This window comes from Homo sapiens, chromosome 19, assembly GCF_000001405.40.
Source record: "Homo sapiens chromosome 19, GRCh38.p14 Primary Assembly".
Taxonomy (NCBI): domain Eukaryota; kingdom Metazoa; phylum Chordata; class Mammalia; order Primates; family Hominidae; genus Homo; species Homo sapiens.
The window spans coordinates 42,366,606-42,394,046 of NC_000019.10; the positions used below are offsets into that span (position 1 = coordinate 42,366,606).

The 27,441-nt window shown below is 54.3% G+C and overlaps 2 protein-coding genes across 6 annotated transcripts in view, besides 3 other annotated features; one reads left to right on the forward strand and one right to left on the reverse strand.

Moving 5' to 3' along the window:
- Positions 1-12,160, forward strand: part of MEGF8 (multiple EGF like domains 8) — a 53,131-nt gene extending 40,971 nt beyond the window's left edge. For both annotated transcript variants that reach the window (NM_001271938.2, NM_001410.3), the window contains 7 exons: positions 1,850-2,057; positions 2,238-2,397; positions 2,926-3,118; positions 3,584-3,754; positions 4,096-4,226; positions 4,745-4,877; positions 8,902-12,160. In NM_001271938.2, coding sequence (NP_001258867.1) covers positions 1,850-2,057; positions 2,238-2,397; positions 2,926-3,118; positions 3,584-3,754; positions 4,096-4,226; positions 4,745-4,877; positions 8,902-10,170 — 2,265 coding nt within the window. In that variant the 3' untranslated portion in view covers positions 10,171-12,160. The remainder of the gene's footprint in view (positions 1-1,849; positions 2,058-2,237; positions 2,398-2,925; positions 3,119-3,583; positions 3,755-4,095; positions 4,227-4,744; positions 4,878-8,901) is intronic.
- Positions 2,422-3,375: an enhancer, noted in NCBI's record as "H3K27ac-H3K4me1 hESC enhancer chr19:42873179-42874132 (GRCh37/hg19 assembly coordinates)". NCBI's record gives its function as "activates a minimal SCP1, AML or CMV promoter by ChIP-STARR-seq in naive H9 embryonic stem cells {active_cell/tissue: H9 hESC(naive)}" and the evidence as "EXISTENCE:reporter gene assay evidence [ECO:0000049][PMID:30033119]".
- Positions 20,414-23,692, reverse strand: CNFN (cornifelin). Of its 4 annotated transcripts, none has more exons than XM_011527397.3 (5): positions 23,635-23,692; positions 22,884-22,930; positions 22,321-22,434; positions 20,735-20,871; positions 20,414-20,637 (listed from the first exon to the last, which is right to left on the reverse strand). In XM_011527397.3, exons 2-5 carry the CDS (start codon positions 22,918-22,920, stop codon positions 20,548-20,550), a joined length of 378 nt encoding a protein of 125 aa, XP_011525699.1. In that variant the 5' UTR covers positions 22,921-22,930; positions 23,635-23,692; the 3' UTR covers positions 20,414-20,547. The 4 variants fall into 4 exon arrangements, with proteins under 4 accessions (XP_011525699.1, XP_005259389.1, XP_011525698.1 ...); XM_005259332.4 differs by having other exon boundaries at positions 22,884-22,963; XM_011527396.3 differs by having other exon boundaries at positions 22,884-23,005.
- Positions 20,600-20,779: a silencer, noted in NCBI's record as "silent region_10712". NCBI's record gives its function as "represses an Ori minimal core promoter by ATAC-STARR-seq in GM12878 lymphoblastoid cells {active_cell/tissue: GM12878}" and the evidence as "EXISTENCE:reporter gene assay evidence [ECO:0000049][PMID:35858748]".
- Positions 20,800-20,979: a silencer, noted in NCBI's record as "silent region_10713". NCBI's record gives its function as "represses an Ori minimal core promoter by ATAC-STARR-seq in GM12878 lymphoblastoid cells {active_cell/tissue: GM12878}" and the evidence as "EXISTENCE:reporter gene assay evidence [ECO:0000049][PMID:35858748]".
- Positions 23,693-27,441: the final 3,749 nt, after the last annotated feature.

The following is a 27,441-nucleotide window of genomic DNA, read 5'->3' on the forward strand; positions in this document are numbered from 1 at the left end:
CGAATTTATCATTGAGCACCTTCTTTCTGCTGGGTGCTTTGCTAGGCAGTGGGGAATGTCAGCAGATGAGCTAGAGTCCTGCTCTCAGAACTTATGTTCATACACCTTTTCCATGAACTCAGGAAATGCAGTGTATGGTGTTGGGCATCTTTGCATTTGGTCACTAGGGAGATTACAGCAGAAAGTGCTGTCCAGGACTGAGGATTCAGGGTTCTCTACCCCTCCCAGATTGTCCCACCATCTGCCAACAAGTGCCCTAAATTTAGATCTGGAAGCCCAGCCCAGCAGAGAATTTGCCTCTGGCAGTTCAGCAAGTCTCAGTGATTTGCAGGCCCCTCAGTGGGCTCAGAGCTCCAGCCACAGCAGTCAGGGTTTTCTATTTCAGGATTCCATGGTTGCTTTGCCTTTTCCTAAGTGCTTTCAGGCAGCCGGCCCAAATTAACCTCTTTCCTCTTATTCTTCACTTATGGCCCAAGCAATAAATAAAGTGCCTTATACACTGAGGTAAGTTCCCAAGAGCCTGAATCTCATTGTGCACGTTTTTGGGGTCCTGACATACAAATATGGCTTGTGAGTTGCTACCCAGCCCCTAACCAAGGACTCTTCAGGTTCTCAGTGTGGGGTAAGAGAAGCCTTTTTGCCTCAGCAGCCACATTTGTTCTTTTTCTTGTCTTTTCTTTCTTTCTTTTTTTTTTTTTTTTGAGACGGAGTCTCGCTCTGTCATCCAGGCTGGAGTGCAGTGGCGCGATCTCTGCTCACTGCAAGCTCCACCTCCCGGGTTCACGCCATTCTCCTGCCTCAGCCTCCTGCGTAGCTGGGACTACAGGCGCCCGCCACCACGCCTGGCTAATTTTTTCTATTTTTAGTAGAGACAGGGTTTCACCATGTTAGCCAGGATGGTGTTGGTCTCCTGACCTCGTGATCCGCCCGCCTCGGCCTCCCAAAGTGCTGGGATTACATTTTTCTAAGAAACTGTGGTTTGCAACCCCACTCCTGATACTCTTTTCTGTCTCCTTCTGGGAACATTGCCATTGTTCCTTTACCTGGAAGAAACAGAAGTGCCCTTAGTGAGGAGGGGAACTCCCTCCACCAATGCAGTAGTACCTGTTGGAACCCAGGATAGAAAGTACAGCAGGGCCTCACAAGGAACTGGAGACAGACTGGAAAGCTGCCTTTCTATCTGTCTTTAGGGCACGTGGTTCTCATCTCTGTCTCTTTCTGCAGCCTGCTCTTTTCCTGCCTGTCTGCGTCCTCTTTATTTAATCATCATTTGCTTATCTAAACAATCCCTTCAACCCAAGTCTACGCGATCTTCCAGTTTATTTTCTTTTTTTGAGACAGAGTCTTACTCTGTTGTCCAGGCTGGAGTGCAGTGGTGCAGTCATGACTCATTGCAGCCTCAAACTCCCGGGCTCAAAAAATCCTACCTCAGCCCCCCAGGTAGCTGGGTCTACAGATGTGTGCCACCACACACAGCTAATTTTTTATATTTTGTAGAGATGGTGTCTCACTGTGCTGCCCAGGCTGGTCTGGAACTCTTGGGCTCAAGTGATCCTCCCACTGTAGCCTCCCAAAGTATTGGGATTACAGGTGTGAGCCACTGCGGCCAGGCAACCTTCCAGTTTCAAGATCCTCCCCAGCCTGACTTCCCGCCTTGGTGTGTAGTTACAAACGCTTGAGAGGGAAAACATGATGACCCCAGCTAGTGTCCACTTTGCTCTACCTGTGGCCAGGGAGGGGTGAGACCTCAAAGAGGGTGTGGTCTGGGAAGATACCCAGAATGTGTTTGTTTAAGCTTATTTCCCCATCTCTCTCTTCCCTGCATCCCCATCCCCTCCCCCCCATACAGTGTCTGAGCCCTTCCTACCTGCCCCTGCGATGTATGGCCGGAGGCTGTGGGCGGCTGCTCCGGGGACCTGAGAGCTGCTCCCTGGGCTGTGCTCAGGCAACTCAGTGCGCCTTGTGCCTGCGGCGCCCCCATTGCGGCTGGTGTGCCTGGGGGGGCCAGGATGGGGGTGGCCGCTGCATGGAGGGTGGACTCAGCGGCCCCCGTGATGGTGAGAGGGCTTTGGGCACTGGGGGAGAGGGGCTGGCCCTTGGTTGGGGTCTGATACAGTGAACATAGGGATACTGGGCCAGACCCAGAGGTGGGGCTCAGAGGAGGCAGGAGGGAGGGCCTAGGCAACTGGGGCAGGTGGTACAGAGGTCCAGGTAAAATGCTATATCCCCGGTGCTAGGGCTGACATGTGGGCGTCCGGGGGCCTCCTGGGCCTTCCTGTCCTGCCCCCCTGAGGACGAGTGTGCAAACGGGCACCACGACTGCAACGAGACGCAGAATTGCCACGACCAGCCCCACGGCTATGAGTGCAGCTGCAAGACCGGCTATACCATGGACAAGTGAGGCCGCAGGCGGCGCTGGGGCCAGGCAGGCTAGGGTGGGAGAGTCTGTGGGGAGCAGTAATGGATGAGGCCTAGAGCCAAGCAGGACAGAAGAAAAGAAAGCTCGAGGCATGAAGGCAGTGGGATTGATTCCTGAAGGTCAAGAGTGGTGAGGCTGAGCAGGGAAGAGTGAGTTTCATAGGGTACCCCAATGGCCGGGCACAGTGGCTGATGCCTGTAATCCCAGCACTTTGGGAGGCCGAGGCAGGTGGATCACTTAAGGCCAGGAGTTCGAGACCAGTCCACAGGGAGACCCCATCTCTACAAAAAAATAAAAAAGAAAATAGGGTACCCTCAAAAGAGGAGAGAGGGTTGTGGGCTACACCTGGAGGGGGTGGTGGGCTAGATCCTGAAGAGAAGATAGCAACGGGACAGAGCAGGGATGAGCAACCAGTTGAGAAGAGGGTGGGGTAGTTGGTTGGGTGCTAGGCCATGAAGCCACGAGGAGGGTGGCCACCTGCCCTGACCCCCACTTTGCCCCTGCAGCATGACAGGGCTGTGCCGCCCTGTGTGCGCCCAGGGCTGCGTGAACGGCTCATGTGTGGAGCCCGACCACTGCCGCTGCCACTTTGGCTTTGTGGGCCGCAACTGCTCCACGGAATGCCGCTGCAACCGCCACAGTGAATGCGCTGGTGTTGGGGCGCGTGACCACTGCTTGCTCTGCCGCAACCACACCAAGGTGGGCCGCCCGGAGCCTCAGACCCCCGACCCTGGGACCCAGGCCCTCACTTGCCTTCATCCCACGCTCAGGCGGCTCGCATCTCATCCTGAGCCCTGATAAGCCAGGGACAGATAAGCCAGAGCCCTGTCCCAGGGAGATGTGTGGAGACTTGGGGGACGCTGCCTGGGTTTGGATCCCAGAGGGTCTGCCCTGGAATAGTGGACGGAGTGGGTGCTGCGCCAGGAGGACAGGCACGTGGAGGAGGATTTGAGATAATGGAGGGAAGGGCTTTTGAACTCAGCACTTTGGGCTGCAGGTGTGCAAGGGAAGGCGGGGGCTAAATCCCGCTGGGATTGTCCAAACCAGGTACCCGAGCCTCTGCTGCCCTCCCGTGGGCTCTCAGAACCTGCCCCTGTGCCCCCAACGCCCTCCTACCCCTGATGACTCTCCAGCCTCTCTAACTACCCTGTCCTGGGTTCTCAGGGCAGCCACTGTGAGCAGTGCCTCCCGCTGTTTGTGGGTTCAGCTGTCGGAGGCGGGACCTGCCGGCCCTGCCACGCCTTTTGTCGTGGAAATAGCCACATCTGCATCTCCAGGAAGGAGTTACAAATGTCCAAGGGAGAGCCAAAGAAGTACTCACTGGACCCAGAGGAGGTGAAAGAGAGGGGTCAGATGCCTGGGTCTGAGGGAGGAGGGGCTGGGGAGCTCCTGGGTCTGAGGGAGGAGGGGGCTGGAGACCTGGACCCTTGGGTTGAGGGAGGAGGGGCTGGAGGCCTGGATTCCTGGGTCTGAGAGAGTAGAGGTGGGGGTCTTGAACTCCTGGGTCTGAGGGAAGAGGAGCTGGGGCCTGGACTCCTGGATCTGAGGGAGGAGGGGGTGGGAGCCTGGCCTCCTGGGTCTGAGGGAGGAGTGGGTAGGAGCCTGGACTCCTGGGTCTGAGGGAGGAGGGGGTTGGTCCAGGCCTTTCTATGATCACACTGTCCTTCCTTGGCCAGATTGAAAACTGGGTGACAGAGGGTCCTAGTGAAGACGAGGCCGTGTGCGTGAACTGCCAGAATAACAGCTATGGGGAGAAATGCGAGAGCTGCCTGCAGGGCTACTTCCTCCTGGACGGGAAGTGCACCAAGTAAGAGGAACCGGGGGGGGGGGGGGGGGGGGGGGGGGGGGAGGCCGGGGATCCCACCCTTCTCACTGGGAGTAGCTCTGGAGCCAGGCCCCCTCTTTAGTCCTCCACCCCCAGTCAGGAGAGGATGACATCCCCAGGGAGCGCCCAGGCTGGGGTCAGGGTAGGGAAGGAGCTGGAATGTGATGCCACTCCCTACCTCCAAGGCTAGTGCTGAAGTGCAGTCCACAGAGCGGCCCCATCGAGAACAAGATGGGGCGGCTGAGGGCAGAGGCCTTGGAACAACCTCCCCTTTCCATCTCCTTCTTTCTGAGTGTTCAGTGAGTGCTGGAGTCTGTGCAACTCGGGTTCTAATCCCAATGGTAATTTAACTGCTTTGTGGCCTTGGGCAAACAGCTTGACCTCTGTGAACCTCAGTTTCCTCTTCTGGCCTGTTGCACAGAGTTGAGCTCACATATGGGGTGTCCATCCTGGACCACTGCAGGCCATGGGGGCTCCGTAACCCTCAACTTCTTCCCCAGATGCCAGTGTAATGGCCACGCGGACACATGTAACGAGCAGGATGGGACGGGCTGTCCATGTCAGAATAACACAGAGACGGGCACATGCCAGGGCAGCTCCCCCAGTGACCGTCGAGACTGCTACAAGTACCAGGTGCGGCTGCAGAAGCTAGTGGTGGGCCGAGGGCCCTACACCTTGTGGAGGTCAGGGCTGGGATGAGGTAGCCAGGCTCGGGCAGGACTGACAACATGGTTCCAAATCAGTGGTTTTGGGATCAAGTGCAGCTTGACAGACTGTTCCTGAGCCCCATTCAGTTACAGGCCCTAGGCAGTGATGCTGGGGACCAAGATATGAGCCTCTGGGGGACTCTCAGACTGGTGGGGAGACAGTCTCCATTACAGGTAGTCACAGCTAAAGGTGGCACATGCCAGAAAATCTATCCCATGGTAGCTCAACCGAAAAAAGAAAATGGGCTGGGCATGGTTGCTCATGTCTGTAATCCCAGAACTTTGGGAGGCTGAGGCGGGAGGATCACTTGAGCCCGGGGGTTCAAGACCAGCCTGGGCCATATAGTGCAACCCCATCTCTGAAAAAAAATTTAAAAATTAGCCTGGCATGGTGGTGCACATCTGTGGTCCCAGCTACTTGGGAGGTGGAAGTGGGAGGATTGCTTGAGCCCAGGAGGTCGAGGCTGCAGGACTCTGTCTCAAAACAACAACAACAACAACAACAACAACAACAACAAACACACACACACACACACACACACAACAGAAGAAAAGAAAATGTATTGACTCTTAGAACTGAGGGTCTGGGGTCTGCCTTCAGGACTGGCTATATCCGGGTGCTCACACAATGCCATCAGAAGTCTCTCTGCATCTTGACTCTGCTTTCCTCTGCATTGGCTTCATTTTCAGGCAGATTCTTCCCAGTTGGCAGACCCCCTCTGATGAACTGAGGCTAGCAGAGATCTCATATCATTTAATACCCAGATTCAAATTCCCCTCGAGTGCATTTCCCTTTTTCTTCTGCACAGAGGCTCCTGGAGTGCCTGCACTGGCCACCTGGCTGGCTGCTGTGTTCCAGACTTGCCTCCATGATGTCCCAGGCTCCTTCCTCAGAGGACAACTCCCGCCACCTCCCCGCCACCTTCTCTCTCCAGTCCCAGAGGGAAGAGAAAGTCCCTTGCTCTCAGTCTTCCTTACCCATCTACAGAAACATAATAGCTGCAAACATAATAGCTGCCACCCCAAATGGCAACAGTTTTACAAGCCTTACTGACCCTTAACATTTCTATCCTGGGCCAGAATTTCTGCTTTTTTATTTTTTTTTTAATTTTTAATTTAATTTAATTTTTTTTGGACACAGAGTATTGCTCTGTTGCCCAGGCTGGAGTGCAGTGGTGGGATCTTTGCTCGAGGCAGCCTCCACCTCCTGGGTTCAAGTGATTATCCTGCCTCAGCTTCCTGAGTAGCTGGGACTACAGGCGTGTGCCACCATGCCTGGCTAATTTTCTGTATTTTAGTAGAGATGGGGTTTCACCATGTTGCCCAGGCTAGTCTCAAACTTCTGAGCTCAGGCAATCCACCTGCCTTGGCCCCCCAAAGTGCTGGGATTACAGGCGTGAGCCACCACACCCAGCCCAGAGTTTCTGCTTTCTTGATAAGGGAAAGGCCTATTGGCTTTTACCAGGGAGTCTCAGAGATTAAATCAGACCTCCTCCTCTACCAGGTCTGTTGGCTGCTTAGAAGTAGCAGTTTTTCTTGGTTCCTTTTTTTTTTTGAGACGGAGTCTCACTCTGTCGCCAAGCTGGAGTGCAGTGGCGTGATCTTGGCTCACTGCAACCTCCGCCTCCCAGGTTCAAGCGATTCTCCTGCCTCAGCCCCCCGAGTAGCTGGGACTACAGGCACGTACCACCACCCCCCGCTAATTTTTGTATTTTTAGTAGAGACAGGGTTTCACCATGTTGGCCAGGATGGTCTTGATCTCTTAACCTTGTGATCTGCCCACCTTGGCCTTCCAGAGTGCTGGGATCACAGGCGTGAGCCACCACCCCCGGCCGGTTCTTTTTTTTAATGTATTTATTTTTAAGACAGGGTCTGGCTCTTTCACCCAGGCTAGAGTGCAGTGGTGCAATCTCAGCTCATTGCAACCTCTGCCTCCCTGGTTTCCATCATCCTCCCACCTCAGCCTCCTGAGTAGCTGAGACTACAAGCATGTGCTATCATACCTGGCTAATTTTTTTTTTAGAGATGGGGTTTTAACCATGTTGCCCAGGCTAGTCTTGAACTCCTGAGCTCAAGCAATCCACTCACCTTGGCTTCTCAAAGTGTTGGGATTCTAGGCGTGAGCCACCGTGCCTGGTTGGGCTTTTGGGTTTTTTTTTTTTTTTTTTTTTTTTTGATACAGGGCTTACTCTGTCACCCAGGCTAGAGTATAATGGCGCAATCATAGTTCACTGCAGCCTTGAACTCCTGAGCTCAAGTGATCCTCCTGCCTCAGCCTCCTGAGTAACTGTAACTATAGGCACACACCACCATGCCTGGCTAATTTTAAAAAAATTTTAAAGACGGGGGTCTTACTATGTTGCCCAGACTGGTCTCGAACTCCTGGGCTCAAGCGGCACTCCTGCCTCAGCCTCCTGAAGCACTGGGATTACAGGCATGAGTCACTGCGTCTGTTTTCTCTTGGTTCTAATAGTGATTGCAGTAATAACTAGAATGCCAGGAGCGCCTGCCACAGAGCTGGATGCTGTGCTGTGTAGACAGTGGTGACAGCATAGATATGAAAGGCTTTGCAAGACTGTGCTGGGGCCTCAGTGGGGTACAGACTTAAGAGGAAGACAGATTCAGAGACATTAAATGTCCTAGCTGGGCACAGTGGCTCATGCCAGCACTTTGAGAGGCTGAGGCGGGCAGATCACTTAAGGTCAGGAGTTCGAGACCAGCCTGGCCAACATGGTGAAACCCCTTCTCTACTAAAAATACAAAAATTAGTTGGGTGTGGTGGCGGACACCTGTAATCCCAACTACTCGGGAGGCTGAGGCAGGAGAATCGCTTGAACCCGGGAGGCAGAGGTTGCAGTGAGCCGATATCACACCACTGCACTCCAGCCTGGGCAACAGAGCGAGACTCTGTCTCAAAAAAAAAAAAAAAAAAAAAAGTCTCACCCCAGATCAGGTGGTCAGTTAGGCTTGGTGCCTGGAGTGACCCTGGTCTGATCTCAGAACTTGAGTGGTTTCCACTAAGCCACAGGAATCATAGCCGTTATCTATCCAGCCACACATTCATTCAGCACACAGTCATTGAGCACCTAGTATATGGCAAGCACCGTGCAGGTTGCTGGGGACACAGTAGGGAACAAAGCAGGCAAATGTTCTGTCTTTAGGAGTTTGCATTCTCATGGAGGCATCAGAAATGAACAAACAAGTCAGATGCTCGTGTGTTAGACAGCGAGGAGCGCTAAGGAAAGTTAAGTAGGAAGCGGGGGCTAGGGCTGTTGGGGAGTGGGAATGGTAGACGCAGGACACAGTGGCCAGGGAAGGCCTAGGTGAGAAGGAGGCTCTTGAGCAAAGATCTGAAGGAGGCAAGGGGGCTTGACAAGCTGACAAGTGACAGGAGAACCATGCAGGCAGAGGGTCCGCCAGTGCAAAGGCCCCAGGGTGGGAGGGCGCCTGGCACAGTATAGAAGAAGCATCCAGGCAGGCAGGCGAGGCTGGCTGACCCTGCGCCGAGTGCCATGCACATGATCTCAGTGGTCCTGTGAGCGAGCCGTGGTTACTCCCTGTGTGCAGAGCTCATGGGTTAAGTCTGTGTGCTCAGGCTCAGTGAGGTTAAGTCACTAGTCCAAGGCCACACAGCTAACAAGGAGGTAGAGCCAGAATGCAGCCGCGTTCTTCACTGCTGTGCCTCAGAGTGCCAGAGGCCTCAGTATCAGGGTGCTCAGGTCACTAGGGTGGCACCAGGGGCAGCAGTGCTGGAGTGCCAGGTCCTGGCAAGGTCTACACTGTGGCAGAGAAGGTCCGGGGGGTCACAGGGAAGTGACTGGGGCAGTGGGGGTGAGGCCCAGGGCAATGGCTACTTAGCAGTGGGTATAGAGTATTCGTCACTGCTGCTTGGGGGACAGGCTGGCACCGCACTCAGCCCTGATGGTCACCGCCTCTAACCCTGCCCGCAGTGCGCCAAGTGCCGGGAATCATTTCACGGGAGTCCGCTGGGCGGCCAGCAGTGCTACCGCCTCATCTCGGTGGAGCAGGAGTGCTGCCTGGACCCCACGTCCCAGACCAACTGCTTCCATGAGCCCAAACGCCGGGCGCTAGGCCCCGGCCGCACTGTCCTCTTTGGCGTGCAGCCCAAATTCACCAACGTGGACATCCGCCTGACGCTGGACGTGACCTTCGGGGCCGTGGACCTCTATGTCTCCACCTCCTATGACACCTTCGTGGTCCGTGTGGCCCCTGACACTGGCGTCCATACTGTACACATCCAGCCACCCCCAGCCCCACCACCTCCACCACCCCCTGCAGATGGTGGGCCCCGGGGGGCTGGGGATCCAGGAGGAGCAGGGGCCAGCAGTGGGCCGGGCGCCCCAGCAGAGCCACGGGTACGGGAGGTATGGCCGCGGGGCCTGATTACCTACGTGACGGTGACGGAGCCGTCGGCAGTGCTGGTGGTCCGCGGCGTGCGGGACCGGCTGGTCATCACCTACCCACACGAGCACCATGCCCTCAAGTCGAGCCGCTTCTACCTGCTGCTGCTGGGCGTGGGAGACCCAAGTGGGCCCGGCGCCAACGGCTCAGCCGACTCGCAGGGCCTGCTCTTCTTCCGGCAGGACCAGGCCCACATTGACCTGTTTGTCTTCTTCTCCGTCTTCTTCTCCTGCTTCTTCCTCTTCCTCTCACTCTGTGTGCTCCTCTGGAAGGCCAAGCAGGCTCTGGACCAGCGGCAGGAGCAGCGCCGGCACTTGCAGGAGATGACCAAGATGGCCAGCCGCCCCTTCGCCAAGGTCACCGTCTGCTTCCCACCTGACCCTACTGCCCCGGCCTCCGCCTGGAAGCCGGCTGGGCTCCCACCTCCCGCCTTCCGCCGCTCTGAGCCCTTCCTGGCACCCCTGCTGCTGACAGGGGCCGGTGGGCCCTGGGGACCCATGGGAGGGGGCTGCTGCCCACCAGCCATCCCCGCCACCACTGCTGGGCTGCGAGCTGGGCCCATCACTCTCGAGCCCACAGAAGATGGCATGGCTGGCGTGGCCACACTGCTGCTCCAGCTGCCTGGCGGGCCCCATGCACCCAACGGCGCCTGCCTGGGGTCAGCCCTCGTCACACTGCGGCACAGGCTGCACGAGTACTGTGGGGGTGGTGGGGGTGCTGGGGGCAGTGGGCATGGGACTGGTGCGGGCCGGAAGGGACTGTTGAGCCAGGACAACCTCACCAGCATGTCCCTCTGACATGCCCAGGGTTCTCATCCACAGCAGCTGGGTCACCTGATAGGGCCGCCCTGGACTTGGGGTCCCTCCACCTGGGGGCCCCTGGACACTGTCTACTTGGAGACCACTGGCCCCCTTCCCCCAGGGTTGCCCAGATGGGGCCTCCTTTGTTCTGCATTCAGCAGCTATTTATCGAGTACCTACTCTGTCAGGCACTGTCATAGGCGTGGGGCAAAGCAGGAACCAAGAGACGAGGTTCCCTGATCTCATGGGACTTAGGTTCTGGTGAAGGGAGACAATCAGTGCACATGCACACACCCCACACGCATACACACATGAACACATGCACATGTGCACACACAAGTAAGATGGCTTCAGAGAGGGAGAAGCACTGTGAGGCCTCCAGAGGATGTGGCAGTGAGGGACGATGGGGTGAAGTCAGCTGGGCATTCAAAGAAGCTAGACTGAGAACGCCTGAGAAGAACCAGCTACGGGAAGAGCTTTGGGAAGCAAAGGCAGAGGCCCTGGGGTGGGAGCAGGCTTGTTTTATTGGAAGGACCAGAAAACTGGTAAGTGTGACCCAGATCAAGTGTGAGGAGATGAGGCTGGGGATAGTCAGGGGCTGGATCACCCAGGGCCTTGTGGGCCCCACATAGGGTTTTGGGTTTTATTCTCAGGGCAATGGGAAGCTGTTGGATGGTTTGATGAAGGGGAGTGACAGGATCCGATGTACCTATTTAAGAATTTAAGAGGGTCGGGTGCGGTGGCTCATGCCTATAATCCTAGCACTTTGAGAGGCCAAGGTGGGCTGATCACAAGGTCAAGAGTTCGTGACCAGCCTGGCCAATATGGTGAAACCCCATGTCTACTAAAAATACAAAAATTAGCTGGGCATGGTGGCACACACTTGTAGTCCGAGCTACTCGGGAGGCTGAGGCAGAAGAATCGCTTGAACCCAGGAGGCGGAGGTTGCAGTGAGCTCAGATTGCGTCACTGCACTCCAACCTGGGTGACAGAGCGAGACTCCACCTCAAAAAAAAAAAAAAAATTTAAGAGGTCACTCAGTTGTGCTGTGGAGAATGGACCGGAGGGACAAGAGGGGCAGCAGGGATGGTGGGCTGGAGTAGGGTGCTGGCAATGAGGGAGTCTGGCTCAGATGTGGGATGTGTATGGAAGAATATAAATGATGGTGTGGATGTCAGGGTGAGGGAGGAGACAAAACCACGATGACCCCTAGCTTTGTGGCCTGAACTGTGGGTGGCTGAGGGGATCGTTAATTGAATGGGGCAGACTGAGGCTTGTGAGGAAGATCAGAGTCTGGTTCTTGACATGAGATGCCCTTCAGACATCTCTTCACTCAGGTCCAACTAGGGATACAGAAACACTGAATATTTCAACAGCAGAAATTGAATGGGGGGATTGATAGCGCTGGCGAGGGAAGCAGCTGGAAAGAGACAGATGGCACCCTGAGACAGCCCAGAGGTGAATAGGACCCCCAGGCTGCAGGGATAAAGCTCAGTGGTGGTGTTACCTCACCGGGGACCAGGGTCACACAGCAAAGCTGGAACAACAGAGGCGTGTTGTGGGGGAGCCTCAGAGGGGACAAAACCTCTGCCTGAGATCCCACCCCAGGTGGGCATGGGGGCCACTGAGGTTGGGGATGAAAATGCCGGTACCGTCAGTGCACAGCCCTGTTCCAGACAGTGCTGCCTGGAAGATTTCTGGGCTCTCCTGAGGCGCCACCCCGCACCTGAGCCACCTCCTTGGACTCCTGTCCTCTACCCCTTGAGGACCTCCCTCCCTTCTACCCTAGCTGTCTTCTTGAACTTGGGACTCTCCTTTCCCAAGACTTCCATCACTAGCTCCTGGAGGGACTGGACTTTGCATCTTCCCTTCGCGTGGAGCCTCAGTGTGAGAGGCCCTAGCCAATGCGTGCATGTCAGAGGTGGTGGGGACCACATCAGAAGAAGAGGGGGGTGATGAAATTAACAAATAAAAAGTATGGGGAAAACCCAGGTGTCTGAGCGCGTCTGCACATGTCCCAGCAGGGCTAGGTCTCAACTCTGACCCAGCCCCGCATGCTGGATAACTTGGATAATTGCCCTTATGATGGTGCCACTTCCAAGCTGGGGTGGCTTTGTTCCTGGCTGCCCCTCTTAAAGGGGGAAGGGGGAAGGGGGAAGGGTATGCCCCAACAGAAGCATAATAAATACCAATAAACAGCTCTTGTTTCCCAGAAGGGACGCGCTGAGGGCAGACGTGGGCAGTGGAATTTGACCCTTCCCTAGATCTTCCTCAGGGAAACCCCAGTTTGGCTCAGGAGGGAAAACAGGCTGCCTTGGTCCCAGCTACGGCTTTTTGTTGTTGTTTTGTTTTGCTTTTTGAGGGGACAGAGTCTCACTGTTGCCCAGGCTAGTGTGCAGTGGTGTGATCTTGGCTCACTGCAACCTCTATATCCCGGGTTCAAGTGATTTGCATGTCTCAGCCTCCCAAGTAGCTGGGATTACAGGCACGCGCCACCATGCCTGGCTAATTTTTTTCTATCTTTGGAGGAGACAAGGTTTCACCATGTTGGCCAGGCTGGTTTCAAACTCCTGACCTCAAGTGGTCCGCCCACCTTGACTCCCAAAGTGCTGGGATTACAGTCATGAGCCACTGCACTTGGCCTTTTTCTTTTTTTTTTTGAGACAGGGTGTCTCTTTTTCTGTGACACAGGCTGGAGTGAAGTGATGGAATCATTGCTCACTGAAGCCCCAACTTCCTGGGCTCAGGCGATCCCCCCACTTCAGCCTCCCGAGTAGCTGGAACTACAGACGTGTACCACCTCACCCAGCTAATTTTTGTAATTTTGGTAGAGATGAGGTTTCACCATGTTGCCCAGGCTGGTCTTGAATTCTGGAGCTCAAGTGATCCTCCCACCTTGGCCTCCCAAAGTGTTGGGATTATAGGTGTGAGCCACCATGCCTAGCCCAGGCACAGATTTTATTCTGGGCCCCAATAGAAGGGTTCAAACCAGACAGGGCTGAGAATGAAATGAGACCCTAGCACAATGAGCTTTCTTTTTTTTTTTTTTTTTTTCTCTGAGACGGAATCTCGCTCTGTTGCCCAGGCTGGAGTGCAGTGGTGCAATCTCGGCTCACTGCAGGCTCTGCCCACCGGGTTCACGCCATTCTCTCGCCTCAGCCTCCCGAGTAGCTGGGACTACAGGTGCCCACCACCTCGCCTGGCTAATTTTTTGTATTTTTAGTAGAGACGGGGTTTCACCGTGGTAGCCAGGATAGTCTTGATCTCCTGACCTCGTGATCCGCCCGCCTCCCAAAGTGCTGGGATTACAGGCGTGAGCCACCGCGCCCAGCCCAGTGAGCTTTCTCTAATCCATTAGAGTCACAGTCAAAACCGAAAGCATCATGAGAGCTGCTTTACCTGGCATGCACCTAGGCAAACAAAATCCCTGATTCCTCCCAGGTGGGAGCTGGAGATCTCTGTCCTCTCCATCAGCCTCAGCAGCATAGGCATCTTGCTGGGTGTGTTAAACAATGTATCTTTTCTGCACATCCCGGCTCCAAAGTGCAAGCTGGTTTCTTCATCAGGTGCTCAGCGGAGGACGATGTGTGGGACCCAGAGGGTGTGTGAGTCTCCATTATGGGCCAGGAATAACACTGTATTTTCTTTTTCTTTTTTTTCGGAGATGCTCTTGCTTCGTCACTCAGGCTGGAGTGCAGTGATGTGATCTTGGCGCACTGTAGCTTCAACCTCCTGGGGTCAAGTGATCCTCCCACCTCAGCCTCCTAAGTAGCTGGGACTACAGATGCACGCCACCAGGCCCGGCTATTTTTTTTTGGTATTTTTGTAGAGACAGGTTTTCGCTGTATTGCCCAGGTTTAACATGGTATCTTCATACTTTGTGGGCAATTTAAGGGATTTCCAGGGGTTACCTTGACCTCACGTGAGTTTTGCCTTTATGAGCTATTAGTAGCACCTACCCTCCAGGATATGATCGTGGACTTGCATTTATATGAACTGAGCAGCACATGCTGGACAGTTTGCATAGCATACTGCTGTGGTTTCATTTGGTCTCTCCAGCAATCATATGAGGTCAGTAACCCGTAATCCCCATTTGCAGATGAGAAAACAAAAGGTCATAGACATGGTTTAGCTGTTGCATGAGAGCTGTCAATTGACTCTCAGACCTATGTGCCTGACCACCAGGCTCTTCCACCTCCCAAGGAAGGACCCCTTAAATTAGGTCGACATAGCTGAAAGCTGTCCCAGCACACGTTTAGAGGTGATGCCACATGACTACCTGTACCTCACAGCAGGAAGGGTGAGGCTTTTCCAAGCATCTGTAACCACAAATCAAAAGGGTCAACAGTCCACCTCACTCATGCCTGTAATCCCAGCACTTTGAGAGGCCAAGGCAGGCGGATCACGAGGTCAGGAGTTCGAGATCAGCCTGATCCACATGGTGAAACCCTGTGTCTACTAAAAATACAAAAATTAGTTGGGCATGGTGGTGGGCGCCTGTAATCTCAGCTACTCGGGAGGCTGAGGCAGGAGAATTGCTTGAACCTGGAGGCAGAGTTTGCAGTGAGCCAAGATTATGCCACTGTACTCCAGCCTAGGCGACAGAGCAAGACTCTGTCTCAAAAAATAAATAAATAAAAATAAAAATAAATAAATAAAAGTACAAAAATTGGCTGGGCGTGGTGGCGAATGCCTATAATCCCAGCTACTTAGGAGGCTGAGGCAGGAGAATCGCTTGAACCCGGGAGGTGGAGGTTGCAGTGAGCCGAGATTGCACCACTGTACCCCAGCCTGGGCAACAAGAGCGAAACTCCGTCTCAAAAAACAAAAACAATAGCCAATTTCTGCTAGGGATAATGCAGAATATACCAACTAGAAAGCTAAGGAGTGTGAGATTTGCTGCCCTGAGAGAGGGAGTCCTGAGGGCTTGGAGTTCCACCTGCATGAGCAGAAAGGAGCTAAGATTCTTTAGGACTCCTCTGTGTTATGCGTGGACCTCTCAGGTGAAGTGTCTTCCTAGCAGTCATCCTGTGACTTTGCCCTCCTAAGCAGATGATTTGCACCACGACTGGGCCTTTTCTCTGGGATGCATAGCCACACTCCCTCCGACTCTCACAAGTGCTCTATGGTACGTGTTCCTCCCTCCACGTCAGCCCTCTGCCGTCACTTCTCCCTGCACATACCTGAGTGCAAGTGGCGTATGCTGAGGTGGGAGAGAGTCTGGGCATGGAAGGCTGGATGCCTGGTTCTAGGCTATGTGCAGCTCCAAACCCCCTGGGGATTTCAGGGATAGAGGGAATATTTTACTGAGGGCCTACAGCCCTCCAGGCACTGTGCTGGGTGCTTGGTGTGAATCTTATCTTGCCAACATCACTGGGAGGTGCCAGCTTGGTTTTCCATTTTGCCCATTCGAAAGCTCTGTTGACTAAGAACTCAGGGCTAATTAAGAGACGAGCCAGATTGTGACACAAGCCTGTCTCTGTTGCCCCACACGTTACCTCCAAAGTTGCTTTCCTTTTCTAAGCCAATGTCTTCTGATTGCCTAGAATGGGCCCCGCATTGTGCTGGGGGCTGGGGACAGAGTAGTGAATAAGGTCTCTGCCCTCATGGAGCTGATAAGCCAGTGTGGTGCCCAATAATAAGTAAATGATGCTGCATGCTGGAAAGTGATCAGAAAAGGCAGTGAGAGAGCAGGCGTTTGGCACTTGCTATTTTGCTTTTTTTTTTTTTTGAGATGGAGTTTCGTTCTTGTTGTCCAGGCTGGAGTGCAATGGCGTGGTCTCAGCTCCCTGCAATCTCTGCCTCCCGGGTTCAAACGATTCTCTTGCCTCAGCCTCCCAAGTAGCTGGTATTACAGGTGCCTGTCACCACACCTGGCTAATTGTTGTATTTTTAGTAGAGACAGGGTTTCACTATGTTAGCCAGGCTGGTTGTGAACTCCTGATCTCAGGTGATGCACCCACCATGGCCTCCCAAAGTGCTGGGATTACAGGCATGAGCCACTGCACCCGGCCTGAGACTTGCTATTTAACATAGGTGGGATGGGAAGGCCTCTCTTGTAAGACGATACATGAGCAGAAATTAGGGAGTGAGCCAGAGGGACATTTGAGGGAGGAGCAATTCCAGGCCAAGGGAACAGCCAGTGCAAAGGCCCTGAGTTGGAGTGTGCCTGACATTTCAGAGAAACAAGACTCATGTGGTTGGAGCAAAGAAGGAATAAGGGGAGATAGGGAGACAAGGTCACAGAGGGAACAAGAGCTATGTCCTGTAGGTCCCTGCACCACGGTGAGGACTCAAGCTTCCACTCTGTCAGAGATGGCACCATGGGAGGATTCTGAGCTTGGGAAGAATGAGCTCTGACGTAGGTGTTCACAGGATTCCCCTGGGAGGAAGAGGCTAATGGGGTAGGAGAGGGTGGGAAGCCCATGGAGGAAGCCCCTGTGTCCGTGTTGAAGAGGAGAGTGGCTGGAACAAGGTCGGGATAGCAGAGTGGAGAGAAGTGGTGAGATTCTGGATATATTCTGAGAGCAGAACCAGCAGAATTTGTTGACAGATTGGACGCTGGGTGAGAGAGAAAGTGACTGAGCAACGGAACGGGTAGAGTTTGCTCTTTCCTGGCATGGCAAAGACTAGGCAGAGTCAGTTTGGGGGTTGGGGTACATCAGCAGTTAGGTTTTATATATGTTAAATTTGAGGTGGCTGTTAGATACCCCGAGGGAAGATGTCACTCAATGAGTGGATACAGCTCCAGAAAGAGAGAGGGAGAGATAACAGCAAATAATAGTAATATATTAATATTAGAATAGGCCGGGCGTGGTGGCTCACACCTGTAATCCCAGCACTTTGGGAGGCCAAGGCGGGTGGATCACGAGGTCAGGAGATCGAGACCATCCTGGCTACCACAGTGAAACCCCATCTCTACTAAAAATACAAAAACATTAGCCGTGCGTGATGGCGGGCGCCTATAGTCCCAGCTACTCAGGACGCTGAGGCAGGAGAATCGCTTGAACCCGGGAGGCGGAGCTTGCAGTGAGCCAAGATCATGCCACTGCACTCCAGCCTGGGCGACAGAGTGAGACTCTGTCTCAAAAAAAAAAAAAGATAGTTACTATATTATACATATTATAGTAATATTAACAATGATTTTGGCCAGGTGTGGCGGCTCACCCCTGTAATCCCAGCACTTTGGTAGGCCAAGATAGGCAGATTGTTTGAGGTCAGGAGTTTGAGACCAGCCTGGCCAACATGGCGAAACCCTGTCTCTACTAAAAATAGAAAAATTAGCCAGGCGTGGTGGCACACGCTTGCAATCCCAGCTACTTGTAGGGCTGAGGCACGAGAATTGCTTGAGCCCCGGAGGTGGAGGTTGCAGTGAGCTGAGATCATGCCACTGCATTCCAGTTTGGGTGACAGAGCGAGATTGTCTTAAGAAAACAAAAAACAATGATTTTGTTTTGTTTTAAGACAGGGTCTCTCTCTGTCACCTAGGCTGGAGTGCAGTGGCGTGATCACAGCTCACTGCAGCCTTGACTTTCTGGACTCAAGCAATCCTCCTGCCATAGCCTCCAGAATAGTTGGAACTATAGGTGTGAGCCACATGCACAGCTAATTTTTTTTTTTTTTTTTTTGAGATGGAGTCTCGCTCTGTCACCCAGGCTGGAGTGCAGTGGTGCAATCTTGGCTCACTGCAAGCTCCGCCTCCCGGGTTCATGCCATTCTCCTGCCTCAGCCTCCCGAGTAGCTGGGACTACAGGTGCCCGCCACCATGCCCAGCTAATTTTTTGTATTTTTATTAGAGACGGGGTTTCACTGTGTTAGCCAGGATGGTCTTGATCTCCTGACCTCGTGATCCGCCCACCTCAGCCTCCCAAAGTGCTGGGATTACAGGCGTGAGCCACCGTGCCCTTGCCCAGCTAATTTTTAAGAATGTTTTTCTTTTTCTTTTTCTTAGACAGGGTCTCATCTTGTGAGCTCATTGCAGGCTTCACCTTCTGGGCTCAAGTGATCATCCTACCTTAGCCTCTCAGTTAGCTGGGACTTCAGGTTCACGTCACCATGCCCAGCTAATTTTTTTCTTTTTTTTGAGAAGGAGTCTTGCTCTGTCATCCAGGCTGGAGTGTAGTGGTGCAATCTCGGCTCACTGCAACCTCTGCCTCCCGGGTTCAAGTGATTCTCCTGCCTCAGCCTCCCAAGTGCGGGGATTACAGGCACCCACCACCATGCCTGATTAATTTTTGTATTTTTAGTAGAGAAGGGGTTTCACCATGTTGGCCAGGCTGGTCTTGCACTCCTGACCTCAGGTGATCCACCTGCCTCCGCCTCCCAAAGTGCTGGGATTACAGGCATGAGCCACCACGCCCCGCCTCATGCCTGGTTAATTTTTGTGTATTTTTTGTAGACACAGTTTTGCCATGTTGCCCAGGCTGGTCTCAAATTCCTGGGCTCAAGCGATCCTCCTGCCTCAGCCTCCCAAAGTGCTGGGATTATAGGCGTGACTGCTCCTGGCTCAAAAATTTTTTGTAGAGGCCGGGCGCAGTGACTCATGCCTGTAATCCCAGCACTTTGGGAGGCCAAGGTGGGTGGATCACGAGGTCAGGAGATTGAGACCATCCTGGCTAACACGGTGAAACCCTGTCTCTACTAAAAAATACAAAAAATTAGCCGGGCATGGTGGCGGGTGCCTGTAGTCCCAGCTACTCGGGAGGCTGAGACAGGAGAATGGCGTGAACCTGGGAGGCAGAGCTTGCAGTGAGCCAAGATTGCGCCACTGCACTCCAGCCTGGGCGACAGAGCGAGACTCCATCTCAAAAAAAAAAAAAAAATTTTTTTTTTCGTAGAGATGTCTCGCTGTGTCGCCCATGCTAGTCTCCAAATCCTGTCCTGAAGTGATCCTCCTGCCTCAGCCCTCCGAAAGCATTGAGATTAGAGGCAGGAGCCAACACATCCAGCCCACAGTGATTTGAGTTCACACTTTGGCCTTTCCCTGTGTACCATCTCTTGTTCTCACAATAGCCATATGACATGCTAGGGACTGTTAGTCCTATAGGGGGAATCAGGTTCAGAAAGGTTTATGAATTCACTAAGATAACACAGCTAAATGGTGAGGAGTCAAGATTAGATCCCAGGTCTGTCCAATTTTGAGACCTGAACATTTTTTGATCTGCTGTTGGTTGCTTTTGCAGGAAAGAGGGTTGATTGAAGTAGACAGTCCCTAAAAATTCCTTTTTAGGCCAGGCGCGGTGGCTCATGCCTGTAATCCCAGCACTTTGGGAGGCCAAGGCGGGAGGATCACCTGAGGTCGGGAGTTCGAGATCAGCCTGACCAACATGGAGAAACCCCGTCTCTACTAAAAATGCAAAATTAGCTGGGGATGGTGGCGCATGCCTGTAATCCCAACTACTCGGGAGGCTGAGGCAGGAGAATCGCTTGAACCCGGGAGGTGGAGGTTGCAGTGAGCTGAGATCACAACATTGCACTCCAGCCTGGGCAACAAGAGCGAAACTACGTCTCAAAAAAAAAAAAAAAAAAAAGGTCCGGGTGCGGTGGCTCACTCCTGTAATCCCAGCATTTTGGGAGGCCAAGGCAGGCGGATCATGAGGTCATGAGATTGAGACCATCCTGGCTAACACGGTGAAACCCTGTCTCTGCTAAAAAAAAAAAAAAAAAATTAGTTGGGCGTGGTGGCGGGCACCTTTAGTCCCAGCTACTCGGGAGGCTGAGGCAGGAGAATGGCGTGAACCCGGAGCTTACAGTGAGCCAAGATCGCGCCACTGCACTCCAGCCTGGGCAACAGAGTGAGACTCCGTCTCAAAAAAAAAAGAAAAAAAATTCGTTTTTAGCTCCAGAGAGCCTTAAGCTTATAAGTTCTCTGCTTTGGAGACAAAAGTCCCCCACGCCTGTTCGAATTGTGTGCAGGCCAACAGTCCATAGATATGGAGCAAGCAAGGGCGCTCTCCTGTTTTTTCTTTGAACTTCAGTGCCTCCGTCCTCCCAAGACTGACTTTCTGGTTTTGCTTATTTTCAGAATGCAGGCAGCTTCAGGCAGGGAGTCTGCAGCTAAAGAGTTAGTGGTTTTACTTTGTTAGGGTGAGGGCAACTGGGGTTTGGGAGGGATAACTTGACAAAGTCACACACTGCCTGGCGGGGTCACACGTAGGCATCTGTCTTGTCCCCACCTCTCTCACCAATCCTCTCTCTCCACCCAGATTCCTACCCTGGGACAAAATGGATGTAGGCGGAGTTGGTTTTCAGGTTTTTATTGTGGGTGTATTTCTGGCAGCGGGACAGGGGTGGTGAGGCAGTCCCTCCCAGGAGTGGCCAGAGAAGGCCAGAGGCGAGACTGGTGGAAAAGGACGGGGAAGACAGGGAACTTCCTTACTCTCGGATCTTCAGTTCCCGCGCCATCTGGCAGAGGGCGCAGGGCAGACAAAAGGTGAGGGCCGCCCAGTCGTGCCCGACGGAGCCCTAGAGGGTAGGAGAGAGCGGTCAGGAGCCCCGCGGTGGGTCCCAGGAGGCCAGTCCCCAGCTCCCTGCTCCCGCGGGTCCCCAGCCCGGCGCGCACCTGGATGTGGTAGCGCTCCCGCATGCCGGTGCGGATGGAGTGCAGGCCTCCGGGCAGGTAGGGCGCGCAGCAGCACTCGCCAAAGTCGTCGGAGATGCGGCAGGCAAGGCACAGAGGAGCAAAAGTGCCGCACAGACCTGGGCGGGGCGCAGGCGCTCAGGGGCGGGGCCAGCCGGGGCCTCCCGACGGCTCCGCCCCGGGGGGGGCGCGGTTGATTCGCCGCGGAGGGGCATTGAGGGTCCCAGCCAAGGAGAGGTCCCAGAGGGAATTAGAGGTCCGAGGAGAGGATGGCTTAGCGATTGGAAGGCAGGGTTTTTCTTTTTTTTTTTTTCTTCTTTTTTTTTTTTTTTAGAAATTGGAGGCTGGGTGCAGTGGCTTACGCCTGTAATCCCAGCACTTTGGGAGGCCTAGGCGGGAGGATCACGAGGTCAGGGGTTTGAGACCAGCCTACCCAACATAGTGAAACCCCGTCTCTACTAAAAATACAAAAATTAGCCGGGCGTGGTGGTGTGTGCCTGTAATCTCAGCTACTAGGGAGGCTGAGGCAGGAGAATCGCTTGAACCCGGGAAGCGGAGGTTGCAGTGAGCATAGACTGTGCCATTGCATTCCAGCCTGGGCGACAGAGCAATACTCCGTCTCAAAAAAAACAAAAAACAAAACAAAAAAAAAAACGAAAGAAAGAAAAAAAAAGAAAAAGAAATTAAAGTCTCGGTCTGTCATCCAGGCTGGAGTGCAGTGGTGTGATCACATGTCTCACTGTAGCCTCGACCTCCTGGGCTCAAGCAATCCTCCCGCCTCGGCCTCCCGAGTAGCTGGGACTACTGGTGTGTGCCACCACCTCGGGCTAATTTTATTTTTTATTTTTATTTTTGAGACGGAATCTCGCTCTGTTGCCCAGACTGGAGTGCAGTGGCGTGATCTCGGCTCACTGCAACCTCTGTCTCCCGGGTTCAATCAATTCTCTTTCTCAGCCTCCCGAGTAGCTGAGTTTACAGGCGCCCGCCACCACGCCCGGTTTTTTTTTTTGTATTTTTAGTAGAGACGGGGTTTCACCATCTTGGCCAGACTGGTCTTGAACTCCTGACCTTGTGGTCCACCTGCCATGGCCTCCCAAAGTCCTGGGATTACAGGCGTGAGCCACTGCGCCCGACCTATTTTTTATTTTTATTTTTGTAGAGATGGGGATCTCATTATGTTGCCCAGGCTGATCTTGAATTCCTGGCCTCAAGGGATTGTCATGCCTTGGCCTCCCAAAGTGTTGGGATTACAGGCATGAGCCACTGCACTGGGCCAGGAGCTAGGGTTTGAAGAGGGAGTTGGGGGTCACAGTGAGGAAAGCTGAGCATGCAAAGGGGAGGTTGAGGGCCTGATAAGTTGAGTGTGGGAAGGCATGAGGTAGTATCCTAAGGAGTGTTGGGGGTCTGAGGAAAGGGTGACTGTTAGAGTGGGAATTCCAAGTCCAGGGAAGGGAGGTGGGAGTGGGGTTAGCAAGCGGTGGGAGGAGGTTGGAGGTGAGCTTCCCTCTCCTGATTCCCCCCAAACCCATCTTCCACCAGGCCTGGAGAGGGAGCAGGCAGGCACTCACAGACAGGCATGTCGTTGCAGCAGTCCGTGAGACCTGTGTGCCAGTCACTGAGCTGGGTCTGGTAGCAGCTGGTGGTGGCGCACTGGGGCTGACTGGTCACAGGGTAGGACATAGCTGCAGAGGTGGGAGGGTAGGGGTCAGCTGGCAGCCTCGCAGCATCTCCTGGGCCCCGCACTTCGGCCACCCTTCCCTGTGCCGGGCAGTCTGGGCGGGGCCGCCAGGCCGCCCACTGAAGGGACACCACTGTGCCTCCCCCTTCCCTTCTGCTACATCTGGGCACCGGCAACCCCAGTCTGTCCCTGTTGCTGCTGGCTCCTGCACGTCTGGTTAGGCTGGGGGTGGGGGTCTCCTGCACATCTGAGGAAGGGTGGGGACCACATCTGGGTGGGGCCTGGCGGTGCCGCCTCCTCCTCCACGTCTGGGCCTGGGTTCTGGGTTGCAGCATTTCTGGGGCCTCTGGGGTGGAAGCAGGCGCCGTCTGTCTTCGAAGCAAGGGTGCCCAGGGGAGGGAGGCGGCCAGGTTCCAGTACTGAGAGGGTTGCTGGTCCACCCAGCGGTCCCACCTTTGCCTTTCACGTTGTCGTGCATCTCAAACTGCATCTTGCTGGCCCTGAGGAGGTGGCGTTGGGGACGGCAGAAGTGGCTGTGGCAACAGTGGCAGAGTCTGTCCAAGGGACGCTGGATACTGGGGAGGTGGGGGCAAGGGACTGGGGCACTGGGGGCTGGGCTCTCAGGGGGAGGGGAGCTGGGGAGAAAGAGGCCAAGTCAGCCTGTCAACCAGGAGAGACATGGAATAGGGAATGGATAGGGCGGGGGCGAGAAACTCGCCCATGTCTTTCCAACTGCCCGACAGATTGCAGAGGACCCTCCCCATACCCGAGATAGAGCTTGAGGGAGAACAAGAAATGGAGATGGACAGAGTCAGAGACAAGGGGAGAAAGATCAGAGCCAGGTGCCCGTAGAGATGTCACCAGTAATGCCCACATGTGCCCAGCACTTTGACTCCTCTGCAAGCCCATCTCACAGATGAGCACTGAGGCTCAGAGACATGAGGAGGAACGCCCCACGTCTGACGGCCCAGGCCAAGGGGGTTCATAGAGGTGATGCTGGGCCCCAAGACTTCTAAATTCAGCTCAGCACACCCCAGTTAAGAAGGACAGATTTGGGGGCATTGGGAAGGACAGAGATGTCCCGAGAGACCGACAATCAGCGATATGAAAGGAGACAGAGTGATATGAGTGGGATGAGGAGGAGGGAGAACAGAGCAGAGGCGCCCAACCTCAAAGAAGAGGGCTGCGGAGGGGATGTTCCTACCTGCAGGATCGCGATGGCAGTGATGGAGGCAGACGTGTGGAGACACGGGCACTGACTTCTCCGTCTCAGCCCAGAGCCACTTATATGGGCGGCCACGCAGCCCTGGGCGGGGCTCTGACAGAGGTGCCCAGGGAGCCAAGCCGGTCTGATCGACCCTCTCCCCACACTGGGATTTCCCGCCCTCCCTCTCCACTCCCATCCCCCCACTTCTCCTCCTGCCTCAGCTCCCAGGACCCAGGGAAAAGAAGGTGGCGGGGGGTGGGAGGTTTGGCGGGGGCGGGGGGCCACAGCCGGGTCAATGCGCAGAGACCAAAAGAGAGGGAGAGACAGAAACACAGTGTCAGAAAGGCAGGCAGGGAAGTCCCTCTAGACAGAAAGGAGAGAGAGGAGATTCAGAGAGATGGAGAGACGCAGGAAGATGTAGAGAGATGGAGAGGTGCCAAGAAACAGAGGGGCACAAAAATGTGAAAAGAAATAACAAGAAGAGGGGAGATGGGCCAGGCATGGTGGCTCTCGCCTGTAATCCCAACCCTGTAATCGCCTGAGGTGAGAGGATCGCTTGAGCCCAGGAGTTGAAGACCAGCCTGGGCAACATAGGGATACCCCATCTCTACAAAAAATACAAATAGAATTAGCCGGGCATGGTGGCATGTGCCTGTAGTCCCAGCTACTTGAGAGGCTGAGGCAGGAGGATCGCTTGAGTCCAGAAGTTTGAGGCTGCAGTGAGCCGTGTTCCCGCCACTACACTCCGGCCTCAGTGACAGAGCAAGACCCTGTCTTAAAAAAAAAAAAGGAAAGAAAAGGGGAGATGGGAGACAGAAGAGAGACGGAGATGGAAAAGTGGAGAGGCAGGTGGGGGGATCACTGAACAGGCTTAGAGGGCAGGGAAATGGGGAGAGGTGATGGGTGGGGAGAGAAAAAGGCCGGGTGGAGTGGGAGAGAGTGCTGTGTGGGACTCCCCTTTCAGGGTCTCGCTCATCTCTCTCAGTGATATCCCCACTTTCCTGGGAGAGGGGGACAGTGTCCTCCCCATTCAAGCCAGGAGACACATGGGGGGCAGTGTGTTTTGGGGAATGACTCATGTTGGAACCAAAGTAAATAAACACACCTCACCCCAGCTCCAAATTGGGAAGGGAGGAGGCTGGGAACTGAAAAGCCGCAGTTCCTGAAGGACGTGGACGTCACCTGGGACTCCTGGGTCCTAATGGAGCAAAGGAGTGGGGGCTTGGACCCCTGGGTCTGAGGGAGGAGGGGCTGGGGCCCTGGACTCCTGCGTCTCATGAGGCCAGGCTGCACATCCCTCAGTAGGGTAGGGGTCCTGGGATTCCACACTGCTGGGCTCCTGAGCAGGGAAGGAGCTGGGGGTCTGGGTGCCTGAATCGCCAAAGTTTCCCCCCAACAGGCCTGACGGGGTTGGGAGGTGACTCAGTGAGGGAAGCAGCATTAGAGCTGGGTGGGGTTCTCAGCACGGGTGTCACCCCAAAAATGTAGGAGGCACTAGAAAACTGGGGTGTCACCTGCAGAGAAGGTGGTGTCATCACCCCGCCGGGTATGGGGTGATGGCAGGTGGATCACCCTGCTAGCTGGGATCCCAGGTGTCCCCTCCCTCCCTCCCTCCCTCCAACACATTAGGACCCAAGCCTTGGTCTCCCAGCACCACCCAGATGGTTGGGTCTTCCTGTCCCCAGAACTCCCGGCAGCGCTCACTGTCTTGCCGGTGCACGTCCGTCATTGGTCCTAGAGCCTGGATGTCTGGGGGACATCTCCTCACTTGTGTCCTAACATCCCTGTCTCCTCATCTCTGAATCTTCGTCTCTCACCCTGCATCTTCACCTTTCCAGCTGTGAATCTGTCTTTCTTTCCTCATCTCTGCAAATCTCTTTCCAAATCTCTGTCTCTCCATCTCTGGGTCCCTCTCCTTCCAGGCTCTGTGTCTCTGTGCCCTTATCCCGGGGTCTCTGTCTCCTATGTCAAAATCTCTTCTGAATCTCGCTTCCCATCTCTGTTCATCTCCAGACCTGCCCTGTGGAGGCAGCTACAGGGCCCCATCCCCCCTGCTGTCCAGACTAAGGGTGCAGGTGACTCAAGGTCAGTCATCTCCGAGGACCCCAGGGCTCCCAGCATGACACTCTGAGTTGTCCTCAAGTTTCCTCTCTCACTCCTGACACAGCCTGGGGGCCCCAATTAGATCTAGCAATTCATGCAGGTGAGGAAATAGAGACTGGGGAAGCTGTGAGGTGGCCTGCTTGGGGGTGAGGAGGGCCGTGAGCAGGAGGAGGAGCTCCTGGGGGGCTGAGGAGTGATGGTGGCCCAGTCACCAGGCATTGGCCTACATCCTCCTCAAACAGGGTTGCCACATAAAATACAGGCTGTCCTGTAAAATCTGAAATTCAGATAAGCAACAAACAGGTTTTTTAGCATGTTTCATGCAGTATTTGGGACATATTTATACTAAAAAAGTATTTGTTATTTATCTAAAATTCAAATTAAATTGGGCTTCCTATAGTTTTATTTGCTAAATCTGGAACCCTACCATCAAAGACAGAGGAGTTCAGGACTCCAGCCCCCTCTTTTCCCAGAACCTAGGAGTCCAGGCCCCAGCCTTCCCTCCTTAGGATCTGCGAGTCCAGGTCCTAATCCTCCTCCTCCCCCTTAGAAGGAATGGGGCACCCAACCCCCTCCTCCTTTGGAAATACAGGAGTCCAGGCTCCCAGCCCCTTTCTCCCCAGAACCCAGGCATCCAGACCAGGTCTCAGTCCAGTTGCCCAATGTGGGTCAGTCATCACTTTGGGTTTCACAAGGTGGGTTGTGCCATCTGTGGCCCTGGTGGAACCGGTCCGGCAGAGCGGACAAGTGGCGTGGTCCCCCTTCCCTTCCTCAACCTGCTGTTTCCTTGAAGGCCAGCCCAGCGGGGCTGGGAGCAGAACAGGAGGGACTTGGGGAGCTCTGGGTGTGCCCCTGTGTTTGGGTGTATTGTGTCTCTGTGTGTGGTTGTGACCAATTGTCATGACAACCCCCAACTGTCATGATGTGTCTCTGTGCTTTTTCTGTGGTCTGCGGTGTGATATGAGAGGGTCTCTTCTATTTGTGTGTCTGTATTGCCCTCCTGTGAGTCTACACACTGTGCACTGCTGTTTGGGTGTGTTTGCAGTTACTGTGATTCTGTAATTCCGGTTGGATTAAGGCAGCAATTATTTATTGAATGGCAGCCTTATGTGATGGACTCTGGAGCCAGAAAGCCTGGGTTCAAATTCGTGTTTTTTTTTTTTTTTGAGATGGAGTTTCACTCCTGTTGCCCAGGCTGGAGTGCAATGGTGTGATCTCAGCTCACCGCAACCTCCACCTCCCAGGTTCAAGCAATTCACCTGCCTCAGCCTCCCGAGTAGCTGGGATTACAGGCATGCACCACCATGCCCGGCTAATTTTTTGTATTTTTAGTAGAGATGGAGTTTCTCCATTTTGGCAGACTGGTCTCGAACTCCCAACCTCAGGTGATCCTCCCACCTCGGCCTCCCAGAGTGCTGGGATTATAGGCGTGAGCCACCGTGCCCACCCTCAAATTCTTTTTTTATTGAGACAAAGTCTCACTCTGTTCCCTAGGCTGGAGTGCAATGAGTGGGAGGACTCACTGCAGCCTTGACCTCCCCGACTCAAGTGATCCTCCCACTTGAGCCTCCTGAGTAGCTGGGGCCACAGGTGTGCACCACCATGCCAGCTAATTTCTAAAATTTTTTTGTAGTGACGGAGTCTTGCTATGTTGCTCAGGCTGGTCTCAAACTCCTGGGCCCAAGCAATCCTTCTGCTTCG